Here is a 17,631-nt window from a genome sequence, read left to right as displayed (position 1 = left end):
GAGAAAATGTCCATTATTTCTTCAATTATCTTTATTGACACTCTCCCCAGTATCACCACTGCATTATGAGAATCCAGTTACTCACGTGTTTGAGTTTAGCTTGGTATTGTAGCCCCACAGGTCAGTGAGGACTGAGGCTGTGTTATTGTATATTTTTTCCTGCCTCTCTCTTCTCCATGTTTCAGTTTAAATATTTTGTATGGTCCTACGATGACTGATTAGAACTCACAAGTGTACAAGCTTTGCTTGATTTCTGGGGATTGTTTGGCCTTCAGGTCTCTATGCTGTTTATTAACCTGTCTATAGAGTTTTGCTTTGTTCATGTACAGCATATTTTTCAGCAACAGATTAAAGTGGGAACCTAGTGAAGGTTTATGGAACCCTTTCTTAGAGTAGCTGTGTCTCTTGGGATATTGTGTTCTACACATTTAGCCACTTCAGGCTCCCCGTACTTTAATCTCTCTCTTCAATTTAGTAAAACTACTATGTTCTGCTTGGATTCTTCTCCCTGTGCTATGATTCAGAAAGCACTTTTAGACAGAAAGCCAGAGTTAATCATATAGACTCACATCAATTCTCCTCCTCCCCCTTCTCTTATTAATGACAGCCCTGCAGTACCTACTATTAATAGTCTGAAGGAAAAAAAATCTCAGATATTTTTTCTACTCTGTTTTCAATATAAGATATCAGATCTGTTTCCAGTCAGATATAATGAAAACTATACTTTAATTTTGCTTCTTCCTTTTAGTGCTTATTTGTATCCAAATTCTAAATCGTGGTGCATTTTATTTAACCATGTGTCATCTCCCCATCACAAACGCAAGGTATTTGGGTATTTGTTGCAAGCGGAAAGCGAGTGGTTAAGGGTTCTCTCTAATCTGGAAAGAGGTTCTCCAAAAGTACTAATGCAAACATTTGCACAGTAACTTTGTATGGATTATCCTTCAAAATCAGCCACAGAATCTGCCAGGACAATCAAAGTTGATTAATTATTGGGTCCAGGAGGCCACAGGACATTAAAGTCACTGTAAAGTCACATAAAATGACTCTGGGCCACTTTGAAGTGACTTCAATAATAAATAAAATACACATTGTAGTTTTAGCTTGTTAATAAATTACCAACAAATCAATCTCTAATATTCTCAAGCATATAAAAAATGAAACTTAATATGATGTTAGCAAATGCTGCTTGACCACTGTATATGTTGAAGCATTTTCTCTATTTATGAAATATATTGAAGAAGACTGTATAGATTATAACTTTTATAACAACTAATAAAAAAATCTATATTCAAAGCTACCGAAGGTTGATTATTCATTCTTAGATCATAAATTCACCTCCATTCTATGATTATTTATCCTCTACTGTGTACTTGTACAAAGTAGATATTTAATTTTTTAAAGTATTATTACTTGCTTTAAAAATATAAACAGTTAAACTTCAACTATTTAGGCTAGCATCCTGTCAATTTTGGAAATAGTTATATACTTAAAACTATGATAAAATAATTATGTTTTCATGAGGTAAGAGAGTGATTAAAACATTTTTAGAGTCTCATATTCAAATCTTTGACGAGCTCATGAAAATTATGAATTCCTTGCTGGAGAAAACACATGTATAAACTCACATATCATTTGCCTGTCATTGAAGAGAAGTGTAAGTATATTTCTACTTAGTCATGAAGAAAGTGATACATCAAATATATGTAAAGATAGGGCAGATCATGTTGGTATTTGTTAAATAGAAGGAGTCCAAGACACAACAACACTTTGTCTTTACTACAATATGTGGACAACTGGAGATATATTAGTTTGTTTTCTATTATTGAGAGAGTAATAAATAATAAAATAATAATAAATCATAATAAGTATTTGGGCATGGTGACTATTTTATTTCATTTATTTAATCAATTTTATAAATATTTACTGCAGATTTACTACATGGTAGACTCTGCAGTAGGTATTATGGGTATTGTCATGAATATAACAAAAAGTTTTGCTTTTATAATTTTTGAATTCTAGTTTAAGGAGGTAATTAATGTAGAAGTGAGCAAATAAATATGATATATGCATTTTTATTAAAAAGATTATAAAAAAAATATAGCAATGAAATAGAAAATGGCTATGGAGACCTGAGGAATGTGAATATGACAGGTAAATCATATATAACAGAAGAGTATTCCAGGAAGAGAGACCAGAAAAACTAGAGGACCCAAAGTTTGATAAAACCTGACATGTTTCAGTAACACAGTATTGAGCATGGGAGCTCTCCACATAGTTCAAAAGTAGATCAGAGATGGAGGCCAGAGTGAGATCACAGAGTAACATATGTCATGATAAAAGATTTGCTGTATTCAAAATCAAAGAAACTAAAAGAATGAACACATAACAATGGAAGTTGAAACTATAAGTTCCCAATAAAGAAATAAGTGATAATGAATCATGCATGAACTCAAGTTAGGAGAGAACAATTGAGTAGAATAGACCAGAAAGGAGAAGTAAAGAAACTGAAAGAGAGAAGCCATGTGGCACAGAGGTACATAGCATGTTTAGAATGATTACTGACATACTAGAAGTACTTCATAGGTATTATTATTAGTATTGATATTATTATGTAAATACTATAATCTCCATTTTAATTATACGAATAAGTAGGCTCAGGAAAGTTAGAAGGACCCTCTGAATATTACACTGTTTGTGCTTGGTAGATGCCAAGAATCAAATTCAGGTCTTCCAGTTCCAGAACCTAAGGTCTTTCCCATAATCCCTTGTTGTCTCAGGCTGGTATGACTCAATGAGTAGATGTGGTACCAAGAGATGAAATTTTTATTCAAGTAAAACTGCCAAAAATAGCTTGAGAAGCAATTATATATATATATATATATAGAGAGAGAGAGAGAGAGAGAGAGAGAATTATAACCCTACACACAGTTCTGTCTTGCAACCTAGGTCGAAGAGGTACAAAGGGATAATTAAAATACTATCCCTAAAGATCATATTTGAAAGAAAAATTGTGATGCACAGTAATGGCAAAGACAGTTGCTTTTTTTCCAGCTAGGCACAGTGGCTCACATCTGTAATGGCTCACATCTGTAATCCTGGCATTTTGGGAAGCCAAGGTGGGAAGATTGCTTGAGTCCAGGAGTTCAAGACTGACCTGGGCAACATAATGAGATCCTGTCTCTACAAAAAAAAATTTTTTTTTTTAATTTGCTGGGTGTGGTGGCACATGACTGTGGTACCAGATATTTGGCTGGGGCAGGAGGATCTGCTGAACCCAGGTTGTCAAGGCTGCAGAGAGCTGAGATCATGACAGTGCTCTCCAGTCTGGGTGACAGAGCGAGACCCTGTATCAATGTATCAAAAAAAAAATTGCTCTTTTCCAAACTACATTTCTGTGTTGGCCTCACTGCAGCCTAGGATCTGTGCTACAATTCTTCAGAGTTCAAAAATCAGATTTTGCAGCACCTAAAAAGTAGGTTTGGTTCTCAGGCTTGGGACAAACTCATAGTGATTAAAGCATAGAGATATATGGGAATCAATCTCAAACCTCCAGGAAAGCTTCTTTGAAATATTAAATGTACTTCCAACAAACTGCTCCTTAGTTCTTTGGCAAAGGTAAGGGGGAGAAAATGCGATTGCTGTAAATTACACATTATTACAAGGAATACCGAATTTCAATGGAAGAAAGATATTTTCAAGGTATTTCAAGACTATTTTTTTTTTAATTTTGGTGGGTACATAGTATGTATATATTTTAAGGAGTACATGTGATTCTTTGATACAGGCATGAAATATGAAATAAGCACATCATGTAGGATGGGACATCAATAACCTCAAACATTTATCCATTAAGTTACAAACAATCCAACTACATCCTTAAAGTTATTTTAAAATCTACGGTTATTTTTGACTAGTCACCTTGTTGTGCTATCAAATAGTAGGCCTTATCCATTTTTTCTATTCAATATATTTTTAATAAAATAATCTGTGGAACCAATTATAGCATTTACATTTTGGCCTTGTGTTTATATATCAGAAGGTTGTAAGATAAATCTCTTTACAAGAATATTGGGAGATCATTTTTATATGTTCCTTTAAAAACTCAACACGATCTGCTAATCTGATAAGTTATCATTAAAAGATTGCTGAAATTTATAGGGAAATTCCATACCTATGACAAATTTAAACACTGAACCAGTTAACAAATTCCAAAATGAGGAATGCCAAAATCTCATTCTTCTAATGACTTTTGATTGGGAATCTAGTATAAAAGACATTCATAGCACAAGATCATCCAAGGACAATTAATTTTGCGTTAAATGTTAATGACCCCATTTGTTAAATGCATAAACCATTTTGAAAATCTATAATAATTTCAAAATCAATGGTCTAATATCAAACTGTCAGGACAGCAAAAAGCAACACAGAGCGAATCATATTAGTGCTTCACAAATCATCAATAAAAAACATGTGGGCTGGGCACGATATCTCATGCCTGTAATACCAGCACTTTGGGAGGCCTAGGCAGGCGGATTACATGAGCCCTGGAGTTCGAGACCAGGTTGAGCAACATGGCAAGACCCCGTCTCTACAAAAACTACAAAAATTAGCTCGCGTGGTGGTGAGCACCTGTAGTCAGTTACACAGGAGGCTGTGGTAGGAGGATCTTTTGAGCTCAGAAGGTCCAGGCTGCAGTGAGCTGAGATGACACCACTGCACTACAGCCTGGGTGACACAGTGGGATCCTGTCTCAAAACAAACAAAAAAAAATTGCACACACATGTAACCACATGTGTGTATTTGTAAAACTTTTCATAGCCACACATATTGAACAAAGTTATTAGAAATACAATTACTTCACTTTGTGGAAAAGGGTGGTGGAGAAAAAAAAAACCACTGGTGCTAGTTATTATGTTTTAAACAACTCTCTTTAACATGTCTCTGTTAGACAAATGTATTTAAAAATATAATCTGATTTACACCATGTTGTTATAGTATGTTAACCTAATATATACTATATAATTATTTCCACGAAGAGAGATAGCAAATTAAAATTTTTTTCTAAGATATTGTAAAGTAATTTTTAATTATCTGCCCAGTTTAAAGATAGCATAATAAATTAAGACTTGGATATGTAAAGGTGTGCTTTCATCCAGAAATCCAGAAATATTTTATCTTAAAACTACATTTCTGATAGAGGCCAGAACAACAACAATAGAAAAAATGCACAGGATGTCCAAGTATCAAAGAGTCCTAAAATGTGTATTGCCATGAAAATCATTATTCATGAGTACCATAATGTGATTTTAATAGGTTATTTTAACTAAAGGTGTTTCCAAATAATTTACCTATTTCATTGGAAATTGTTTAGTGAGAGACACAAGAAAAAAGAATGAGATGTTATTTAAAACTTTCCCAGCTATTGATTTTATTTCTTTTTTCTTCTGATGTATTTATTTGTATATTTGTAGAATACAAGTAGAATTTTGTTATTTGCGTAGATCGTGTAGTGCTTTTATGTATTTCTATTTCTCTTCTGCATAGTTTTGTTAATACAATTGCTTTCTTTGTTTTGAGTATGTAATTTGATAGGTCTCTATTATCTGAGTAAAACAATTCCTAAACCAAGATAGGAAAAACAAATGCTCTGTTCAGGTTACCTGAAGGTAAGATTAAAATCACTTTGAAAATGACATTCAGGCCAGGCGCGGTGGCTCACGCCTGTAATCCCAGCACTTTGGGAGGCCCAGACAGGTGGATCACGAGGTCAGGAGATCGAGACCATCCTGGCTAACACGGTGAAAGGCCGTCTCTACTAAAAATACAAAAAATTAGCCGGGTGTGGTGGCGGGCGCCTGTAGTCCCAGCTACTCAGGAGGCTGAGGCAGGAGAATGGAGTGAACCTGGGAGGCAGAGCTTGCAGTGAGCCGAGACAGCGCCACTGCACTCCAGCCTGGGCGAAAGAGCGAGACTCTGTCTCAAAAAAAAAAAAAAAAAAAAAAAGAAAAGAAAAAGAAAAAAGAAAATGACATTCAGTTTAATTATTTTCCAAGATTTTAAAGAGTTCATATTTACCAATTCTTTTGATGGAGCAACCAAATGATACATCTTTCCCACTCTCACCAATTGCTTATTTTTCTTCCTGCTTCTGATGTGTGGTGTTAGCTGCTTATTGATGGAATTCATTAGTCTAATAAACCTTTTCATGTAAAGTACTGCAGGAGATTTTTAACCAATGAGATTAGAGCATAAAGTGGTTCGATTAAGAAAAAACTGTTAAAGCACAGAACCATTAAAATCATACATGTGTGTATATGCATACCATGCCTGTTTCCTTTTCACGTAAATCATATACTTGTACATAAAATTGGCATCCACATCAGAGCTCTGCATCACCTTTCCGGCATGACCACACCCATAATGCATTCTGATCTCTTTCAACTGAAGCAAATCACAAGGGAAGGGTTTCAAGATGGCTGACTAAAAGCATTTCATGCCCACCTTCTCCACTATGTGGAACCGTTTAACTGAAGTAAGAATTAAAAGACACTTGAAAAACAATCTGAATGCAAAATATTTCTAAATTGCTAAAATCCCTCTAAAACTTCGTATCAAACTTCTATAATAAAAATCAATCATTTTAATGATTTGCTTTTAATAATCCTTCCATGCATTCACAGAAATTCCCACTTTATTTCTTTAACTTATTTCTTGCATAATAATTTTATTTAATTGCATAATTAAAATAAAAAGCACAAATTATGTCATATCTATGGAAACAAGCAGTTCAACTTTCATGTGAATAAATGCACCAGTATGCTAGAGAGTAGTCGAATAGAGTTCAGTGTGTTGTGGACATCAGCCACTAAGGTTTAGAGATGGGAAAGATTTGGTTCATCAATGAACCGAGTGTGTCAGGGTAAAGGCTTTATGTTTAAATGAGTCTGCTCGATTATTGAAAATTTTTAATGTCGAATAATAATTTATGTTTCAAAAGGTGAACATGTTATACAGAAGTAAGGCATATTTTAAAATATGCCTTAATTTTTTTGAAATATTTCAAGATATGCCTTACTTCTGTTTAGTGTAATGTAGTATTTCATCTTGAATCAATAACACAACCAAGATGGTTTATTCCTCATAATATTTGAAATAACTAAATAGAATAGCATTATCTTGAGTTTTCTCTGATGTATTCCTAATATTAATAATTTACACTACTGTTTATGGTTTATCTGTATTTTAGATAAAAATGTTACATTTAATCTTTAAGTTTAAAGATTTGTTACCATATAGTCTCATATTTTGTATGCATAAGGAATGAATTATTAGATAAGGAATGAATCACAAAAAATGTTAATCACTGACCAGTCTAGTTGTCATTAGACAAACCTCAGTAAACAAATAAGACTACATGTCTACAGAAAAACACAGAATGTTGCCCTTAGTTCTTATAATCAATGATACATACTGAATAGGGGCATTTATGCATAAATGTGTGCTTTTAATAATTAGGCAGCACCATATCTGGTGGTAATTGGAGCATGAAGTTCAGTGAGCTGGAGAGATTTCTTTTTCATTATTTTTCTCCATATGTCTATTTTTTTAAAAGCTGACAGCATTGGAGAGAAAAGATACGTTAAGCAATTTGTTGTGGAGTAGCGTGCAGACAACATTCTTTGGTGTTCTAGTAGTCCCTGAAAACGTTTCACTGTCCTCAGTTGGTGGATGGAGTATGGATTAGTAGGGGAGAGCCTGGCAGTGGAGGCTGGAGTACCCCTTCATCCCCTTAAAACAGAAAAGACTGGCATTTCCATGAATATAGAGTAGACTACTAGATAAATTTTCCTTTGAAAAAGAAAGAGAGAGACAGAAAGAGAAAACTTTTCATATTTTAAACTACTGGGATCTTACTCTTTTTATGTATGAGAAAATTAATTAAAGGCCAAAAAGTTTTAAGATTCATTTAAATTCACAGACCTAGTAAGACTCAGAGCTGGTCCTTTATTTACACAGTTTCAAATGTGTCTCTCTGTCTCTCTCTGTCTTTCTGTTTATCTTTGTCTCTCCCTCACCCCGCAAAACTCACACAAACCTGTATTTGCTTTTATCAAAATAAAATTGAAAGAAACAATTAGAAAAAGCATTGTAGAGAATCCACTCTGCAGCAGAAGTACACACTGAATATCACACAAAGCTCGGGTAGTTTCACTGGAAGTGTTATCTCTGAAAGTTTTCTAATTGCTTCTGGTATTCTTTGTTATGAAGACTTTTAAGGCTGGATTTGAGCTGATGAATGAAGTACACTGTGATAAATTACACAGTTACAGCAGCCCTGACCCCAGTTATTTTGGTTATTGCTGATGTAACAAATAATCAAACATTTAGTGGCTTAAAATGACATCCATTTATCTCACACATTTGTAGGTCACAAGTCTAGGTGTAGCATGACACAGCTAAGGCCTTGGTTTAGGTATGTCTTACAAGGCTAAAATCAAGGTGTCAGGTGGGCTTCATTCCTTTTAAATTGTTGGAGGAATTCAGTTTTGGAACTCGGACTGGCTGTCCTTGCTCCTCAGCCTGCAGACAGCCTACTGTGGGACCTTGTGATTGTGTGAGTTAATACTTAAAAAACTCCCATTTATGTATATACATACATATATTCCATTACTTCTGTCCTTCTAGAGAAAACCCTGACTAATGCAATGTTTATTTACTAAAGGTATGGTATTTATATATCAGTCTGCAAGGAAAACACATTTTAACCCATAAATCCCCAAAGTAGCATATTTCAATTCACACATTTTTAAGAACTCTTTTATAAGATTAATATATCAGAATCTTAGTCTTTCAGGCATGATGGCTGGTGGTATAATATATTAGAAAATTAAACTGGAAGGAATGACAAATTCATGAAATGCAAAGTCATAATCTAAATCATATCAACTGGAAGGAATGACAAATTCATGAAATGCAAAGTCATAATCTAAATCATATCAATTGGATCAGTCGACATACTCAGCATAATTTTAGAGAAATGAAGGGAAGAAATACAGTTAACAGTATTTGTAGTAGTTGTTGCAGATAAGCTGTTTCAATGAGAAGGCAGAAAAATGTCAGTCTTTAAATTTTCTGCTTCTTAAATGCTTCACCTGATACAAATAATCAATCTGACATGAGTAATAAAGAAGAAGACACATTGTCATAAGTAGAAAATAACTAGGATTCTAGAGATTTGTAACCTCAGTATAAGTTTACAAGATACTATCCCCCCTTCTCTACAGAAAATAAATTTGGCTATATTAATAGAGGTCAAATATGGAGAGTAAGTGAGGAGACAATCATTTTAAATTCTGCAAATTTCAGACTGTACAAAGAATATTGCATTCAATTCTGGAAGTCATACTTTCATGGGAAAAAAAATAAGGCAGATTTTAGAATAGAGCACCAACATGTTGAGGGATAGTAAATATTATGACCTTAGAAAAGTGATTGAAGTAACTGGAGGTGAGTAAGAAGACAAAGGTTCTATTTGCAATTATCTAAAATATTTTGCTAAAAGAGAAAAACTGAATTTATTCTGAATGACTTAAGGGGAAGAATCTTGACAAATTAGCTGGAAGTAACAGAGAAGCTGATCTTTAATTAATGTAAGAAAAGACTTCATTACTGTGAGAGCTGTTCACCACCACTATAAAAGCTTCCCTAGAGAGTGATTTTTTTCCTAAATGGGGAAGTTTAAATAGGTCTTGATGAGTAATGGGAGGTGATATTATAAAACAGCAGTGCTTCTCAAACTTTAATGCACATAACAACCACCTGTTATGTGCTGGGATGTTATGAAAATGCAGCTTCGGGTATTTCTAGTTCTAGATCCCTGAGGAATCGCCACACTGTCTTCCACAATGGTTGAACTAGTTTACAGTCCCACCAACGGTGTAAAAGCGTTCCTATCTCTCCACATCCTCTCCAGCACCTGTTGTTTCCTGACTTTTTAATGATCGCCATTCTAACTGGTGTGAGATGGTATCTCATTGTGGTTTTGATTTGTGTTTCTCTGATGGCCAGTGATGATGAGCATTTTTTCATGTGTCTGTTGGCTGCATAAATGTCTTCTTTTGAGAAGTGTCTGTTCATATCCTTCACCCACTTTTTGATGGGGTTGTTTGTTTTTTTCTTGTAAATTTGTTTGAGTTCTTTGTAGATTCTGGATATTACCCTTTGTAAGATGAGTAGATTGCAAACAATTTCTCCCATTCTGTAGGCTGCCTGTTCACTCTGATGGTAGTTTCTTTTGCTGTGCAGAAGCTCTTTAGTTTAATTAGATCCCATTTGTCAATTTTGGTTTTTGTTGCCATTGCTTACCCAGCCATCCCATTACTGGGTCTACACCCAAAGGATTATAAATCATGCTGCTATAAAGACACATGCACACGTATGTTTATTGCAGCACTACTCACAATAGCAAAGACTTGGAACCAACCCAAATGTCCAACAATGATAGACTGGATTAAGAAAATGTGGCACATATACACCATGGAATACTATGCAACCATGAAAAATGATGAGTTAATGTCCTTTGTAGGGACATGGATGAAGCTGGAAACCATCATTCTCAGCAAACTATCGCAAGGACAAAAAACCAAACACCGCATGTTGTCACTCATAGGTGGGAATTGAACAATGAGAACACTAGGACACAGGAAGGGGAACATCGCACATTGAGGCCTGTTGTGGGGTGGGGGGAGGGGGGAAGGATAGCATTAGGAGATACACCTAATGTAAATGACAAGTTAATGGGTGCAACACACCAACATGGCACATGTATACATATATAACAAACCTGCATGTTGTACACATGTACCCTAGAACTTAAAGTATAATAAAATATACATATAAAAAATAAAAATAAAATAAAAAATAAATAAATAAATAAATAGGCCAAGCATGGTGGCCTCATGCCTGTAATCCCAGCATTTTGGGAGGCCAAGGTGGGAGGATCCCAAAAAAAAAAAAAAAAGAAAAAAAGAAAAGAAAATGCAGCTTCTGAATCAGGAGGGTGGGCTTAAATTTCTGCATTTCTAACAAATCCCAGGTATGCAGACTGCTGTTGTTCCTCAGATCACACTCTGAGTAGCAATACTGTAGAGGGATTACATGCACTTTATAGCAGAATGAATTGGTGATCTGTGACTCCTTTCATTCCAATACTTAATTAAATCCTATTGGATGTACCAGGAACACAGTTGCCTTCTTGATTAAGGAATTTCTGTCACCCTTCTCACATTGGCAAGAGAAATAGGCCAACCTTTATAAGGAAGAGTCATCAGAGAAAGTGAGATTACCTTGCCTAAAAAAGGATATCTGGGATTCCATGCACTTCTCATTACCCTCATTATTTGTCAAAACCTCATTAAGGTTTTGACAACAAATGATAATTGGAAACAGTTTTCTGGCTCCTTTAGTAGTAGCATGTCATTTTATCTGCTTCTTGGCCTTAGTATGTTTGAAGTGAAACTGTTTACTGAGATGTTTGTATTTGGTTCAAGCTTAAATGCCAAATGAATCTTGGCAAATTCCATGTGGCAAGCAAGAAGCTGAAACTCTATTCAACTTCCAAAGCTTGTTGTTGTTATTTTATTCCTTCTATGTTCTAGCTGTTAAAGGAGGGCCATGAAAGTTTCAGTCACTTGACTCTGAAGCAGAAGCATGTGAACTGAATTGTGTAAATCTTCTGGGTAGAAATGTTCTAGCACTTTATCTTCGTTAACACATGGATTATAAACTATATTTAGTTTGACTATAATTAAATCTTGTTTCTAAAGATGCAAGGCAGTTTCCGCTGCATTGAGAAAGTTTTCCTTGAAAATAGTAGTGATGGTTTTACTGCTACATGATGGATTCTAGTTACTTGTTTCAGTATTGTATAGGAAATCTAAAAATAAACAAACAAAACCAATATGATTTTCAAATATTTTTCAAAGCCTGTTGTGAAACAGAACCCTCCTCTTTATATTTTAATTTGAATTATGTTAATAATTTGTATTAATAGTATAGTTCAATTTTTAGCTCCTAGTGCCTACATCCAAGCTAGAACTCTGCTAAAATGCAAAGAAAGACGTTGGGAGTCTCCCATCAATTCCTGAAAGCTAAATAAATAAATAAATAAAAATACTGAGAAATGTTTTAATTTTTGGCATTTGATTCCAATGTGTTGTCTACCATTCATTAGAGAGTAAAAGGAGGAAACAATGTAATGGGTTTATTCCAAATTATGTAAAAAATTGTAATAAATTGGTGTAAGGAGCCAGACTTCAAGTTTGTGCTCTGATTAATTGAAACCATTCTCTTACTTTAAGAGGATGAAAGGAATAGTGAACTTAGGAGAATTAGGTTGACAGATTTGGTTTCTCATACTGGGAGAAAAGGCAACCATAAGTTCTTTGCATTTAGGTTTCAATCATTGAAAAATCAATCCCTATAAATAATTTTTTGTTATCTGTCTTCCTGTCTGCTTTAAAAGGACACTGTCACAAAATAATTTTAGAATAACAATTTTGGCACAGGACCACGTCTCAGAGGCCCAAAATGTTTTGTCAAAAACATATTTTGTAGAAAAAAATTTAAGTTTTAAAAAATTGGAAAAATATAATCACCACAGAACACAACTCCAAGGATGGGTGAATCGGGGAAGGGGGCAGTTCTAATTGACTTGGAGCCATTGAGACAGATACATACATACATATATATATATATATATATACACTACCATAATGTACACATTGGTTGATGGTAAGTTTGTATACAATGCTTATATGCTAACATTTTATTTGGGGATAATATGCTAACATTTTATTTGGGGATAAGGTGTGATAGCAAAGAATGTTATTAAAGGAAGGTGATTTCCAGGGGAAAACAGAAGAGACTCTAGAAATAGGAGGCTGGAACAAGATGCTGATAGTGGAGTGGATCATGGGGGAAGAAAAAGGAAAAACATGAAAAGAGAAAAAATTAGAACATTTCCACAAAAATTATTCAAAGGTAGCATCATTTATATTTTAACTCATTTCTTATATTTTTGTCTATGGAAATAAATAAAAAGATGGCAAATTTAAACATCATTTTGACTCCAAAGGGGTTTCATCTCCTTTTAAGAAATGTTACTGCATGAAAGAAAGATAAATATTCACCATTAACATGAAAGCAATTAGCTTGCTCAAAACAACATATTTACACCCCACATATCCCTTAATATTTTATATACATATACAATATTATAACTGTATTCTGTATTTTATTTCATTTGTACTTTTCTTTTGATGTATCAATATCACAGTTTTTTTATAGTATTTGGTTTTTAAATATTAATTAGGCCATGTCACATGTTTTATCTATCTACCTGCCTTTTTATCTACCTAGAAACACACTAAAAATTTTATGACTATTTGAACCAGACAGATATGAGTTGACTTATAGAAGCCAATATAATGTCTTAAAAAAAAAAAAAAAGGAAAATGAAGTCTAGTTAGGAATTGAGATTGCAATGAAATAATAAATAATTTAATTCCTAGATTCATTTAAGCTAATTTCATCTTGATTGTATAGTAATAAAAATACATCAGACACCTGAAAATCTTACTTGTTCTCAAAATAGTTTAATAACCTTCTGCATGTTTTCATTCATGGCTTTCATAGCTCATGTTAAAATGCACTCAGAGTTTATATGCCCTTTAAATTCCTTCATATATATATATATATATATATATATATATATATATACACACACACGCACACACACACACAGAGAGAGTCGAATGCTTAAATTTAGGTAATTAATAAGCGCATTACCTCATATAGTCATAATTTCTGTGGTAAGAATACTTAACATCCACTCTCTTGGCATTTTTCAAGAAGGCACAGGAAAAGACAAATACTGCGTGTTCTCACTCATATTTGGAATAAAAAAAAAGATCTCACAGAAGTAGAGAGTAAAATGATGTTTTATTTTTGTTTCTTCTTTTTTTTTTCAATTGAATAAAACAATGTAGGTGTTCCTATCAATCCTCTGAGATCTTCCTACAAGTGATGCAACAGACAGGTCAAACTTAAAACCTGCTCATCTTTTCTGGAAGGGAAGTAGAAGCCAGAATCAAGTAAATCAGTGCCTTTCTTTGGGCCACAGCCTTTATTCTAGGCTTCACCACTAGTTAAATGCCAGAAGAATTTTTGAGAAGAAGATGTTCATGTCTTCTACCAGAAAGTAATTGCCCTTGTGTCATTTTATTCAGCTCTTCTATTTGCTCCTCAGGTAAGCTATGGCCTAAAAGATTAGTACAAACCCACAAATTCTAAAACTATTTATAGCAGAAGACAAATGCAAGAAACACAATTTTGTGTTTAAGTTAAGTTGAATAGAATGTTAACAGGAGTAGTCAGTGTGTACTTGTTTTACTTTACAAATCCAGCCCCAAGAAATTGAAAATATAATTTGTTTGTCCCTCATTTATTTACAAGCTTGTGTCTTATCTTCTACCTCTAAGGAAGACATTCATCCATAATCTCTATTAATGTTTTGTATTGCAATTACAAAAGAAAATATTTCATCCAGTGCCTTTACTAAGTACTCAGGCAATCTGTCTGCTTTTATTTAGAGCCATATACTCTTCTCAAAAGATCGCTCTGCTTATTACTTCACAGCTTAAAGGAGTATACTTACTGCAGAATTGGTATCAACAAAGGGGATTAGGAAGGAAAGAATGAGGGTTAATTATATTTCAAAATCAAAGACAATACAGCAGCCATGTGTGGCTCATTAATCACCTGGAATTCAGCACTTACTAAGAGTCATCTGCAATGTTATACATTAGGGATACAGCAGAAAACAGGAAATAAAATACTGACTTCATAGGACTGTCAGGTGAAGAAAAAGTGTAGAAATTAGGACCTCATAAAAGTCATCAACTAGCTTATTTAAACTTTGACAAATGCTCTAAGGAAATATAGGTAGTCTTGAGATTAAATACTGGAGATGACTAATCTGTCTGAAGTCAGGGAAATCTTCCTAAAAAAAGCAAAATTTGAGGTAAAATGAGAGATACAGGTTAGCTGGAGAAGAGTGTACTGCGTAGAATAAATGAGTTGTATAAAAGTCCTGTGGTGGGCAGCTTATGGAGTTATCAACATCTACATGAGAGTGTTGTATTGCTTGAGTAGCAGCAGTAGAAATGATGAGGCATGGACAGATTCAAAGCACATGGAATTTTGTATCTAGGAAGGCAGAATTTTCTCTATTTATTCACAAGCTTGTGTCTTAACTTCTACCTCTAAGAAAGATGTTTATGCAGAAGCTAGCTTCCGAATTTTATAAAACTACGAAGCTAGCTCCCAGGAAGTGCTTAAGTCTAGGTACCACAGAGAGCTCTCCTTGTCATGTCTCCTTAGTCTGCTCTTAACAAATGTAGCAAATGGTAATGCTTCCTCAATAACATATTTCTTACTTTATTCTCTCTGTATACGTATATGTATCTGCACATACATAAATACACATACTTGTACATATGTACATATATACACATAAGTGTACAAATGTATATATGTGTACATATGTGTATACATGTATATATGTGTATATGTGTATATACACATATGGGTGCATATGTGTATATACACATATGGGTGCATATGTGTATATACACATATGGGTGCATATGTGTATATACACATATGGGTGCATATGTGTATATACACATATGGGTGCATATGTGTATATACACATATGGGTGCATAGGTATATTTGTATATATGCATACATATGTATATATGTATATATGTGTTTATATGTATATGTATGTATATGTATATGTGTATATATGTGTATAAGTATATACAATAATCTCAATACTATCTTAATTTTCTCTGTATATATATACATATTTATGTAAATATACACAAATCTATATAAATACATATATGTATATATACACATCTATATACATAAATATATATACATATCTATATACCTAGTTATGTATATACATACGTATGTATATACATATGTATATACATAAATATGTATATACATATGTATACATATATACATACGTATACATATATGTATACAGAGAAAAAGATATTGAGATTGTATACACATATATACATATATGCATATACATATATACATAAACATACATATCTAACATACAGTTAGAATGTCATGCTGTCTTATGAAATATTTCATTTTATATATATGTATCTATTTATGTACATGTATACTTATATACGTATATATACGTATATACATGTATAAATATGTATGTATACACATATACACACATGTGCACACGTATGTACACGTATATACATACGTGTGTACACGTATATATCTACGAATATGCACGTATACGTGTACACGTATATATATATCAATATGCACGTATACATGTGTACATATATAAATATACGTATTTATATGTATACGTATATGCATACATATATACACATATGTATACATATACGCATATGCATACATATATATGCATACGTATACACATGCACACATGTGTATACATACATACACATGTGTACATATACATACACATACATGTATATATACATACACATAAATGTATGCAAACACACATATGCATATGCATACATATACGTATGCATACACACATATACATATGCATACATATATACATATGCATACATATATACATATATCTGTATATATGTATACGTGTATACATATGTGTATGCATATAAGCATATATGTATGCGTACATATATGTGTATATGTATATGGATGTATGTATATGTGCGTATATGCATATATGCGTACACGTATATACATATATGTATACGTATGCACACCTATACACATATGTATACATACACATATATACATATAGGCATATAGATATATACATATACGTATACAGATATATACGTATATAAGTATCCATATATACGTAATACGTATACACGTATCATATATACGTATACAGATATACATATGTATCCATATACACTTATACATGCATATATGTACACATATACATACATATATACATGTATACACATATACATGTATACATATATACACATACACATGTATGCATATATACACATACACATACAGGTATGCATATATACATATACGGATACATGTATGCATATATACACATATGCATACGTGTATGCATATATACACATATGTATACGTGTATGCATATATACACATATGTATACGTGTATGCATATATACACATACGCATAGGTGTATGCATATATACACATGCATTATGTATACATATGTACATATATATAAAATGAAATATTTCATAAGACTTACAGCATGACATTCTGCCCATTTGCTTGTCTATACTTTCCATTAGTCAGCGTGACCTCAGAATATTATTCAATGAATAGCTCTCTGACCCAATCCAGGGTCTGCATTTTCATTTCACGACAGAAACCATGGACAGTTTTCTCTATCACTTTCCCTGTGAGAATAAGAAGGAATTCACTGTGGTGCCTAAAGTTTAGGTGAACCACTCATGTTTGTCCCTTGGAAAAACATCTGCCATTAGTTGATTCCACTGATATGTCAATTTTGTCAGTGATTTC

At 33.3% G+C, this 17,631-nt stretch overlaps 1 long non-coding RNA gene across 2 annotated transcripts in view; it reads right to left on the bottom strand.

Annotated features, from left to right (window-relative positions):
- The window catches only part of LINC02699 (long intergenic non-protein coding RNA 2699), a 470,852-nt gene that overhangs the window by 256,968 nt on the left and 196,253 nt on the right, over positions 1 to 17,631 (bottom strand). The gene's annotated exons all lie outside the window — the stretch shown is intronic.

Source organism: Homo sapiens, chromosome 11, assembly GCF_000001405.40.
Source record: "Homo sapiens chromosome 11, GRCh38.p14 Primary Assembly".
Lineage (NCBI taxonomy): Eukaryota > Metazoa > Chordata > Mammalia > Primates > Hominidae > Homo > Homo sapiens.
The sequence above is the reverse complement of the archived record's forward strand: the minus strand, read 5'-3'. Positions and strand labels throughout refer to the sequence as shown.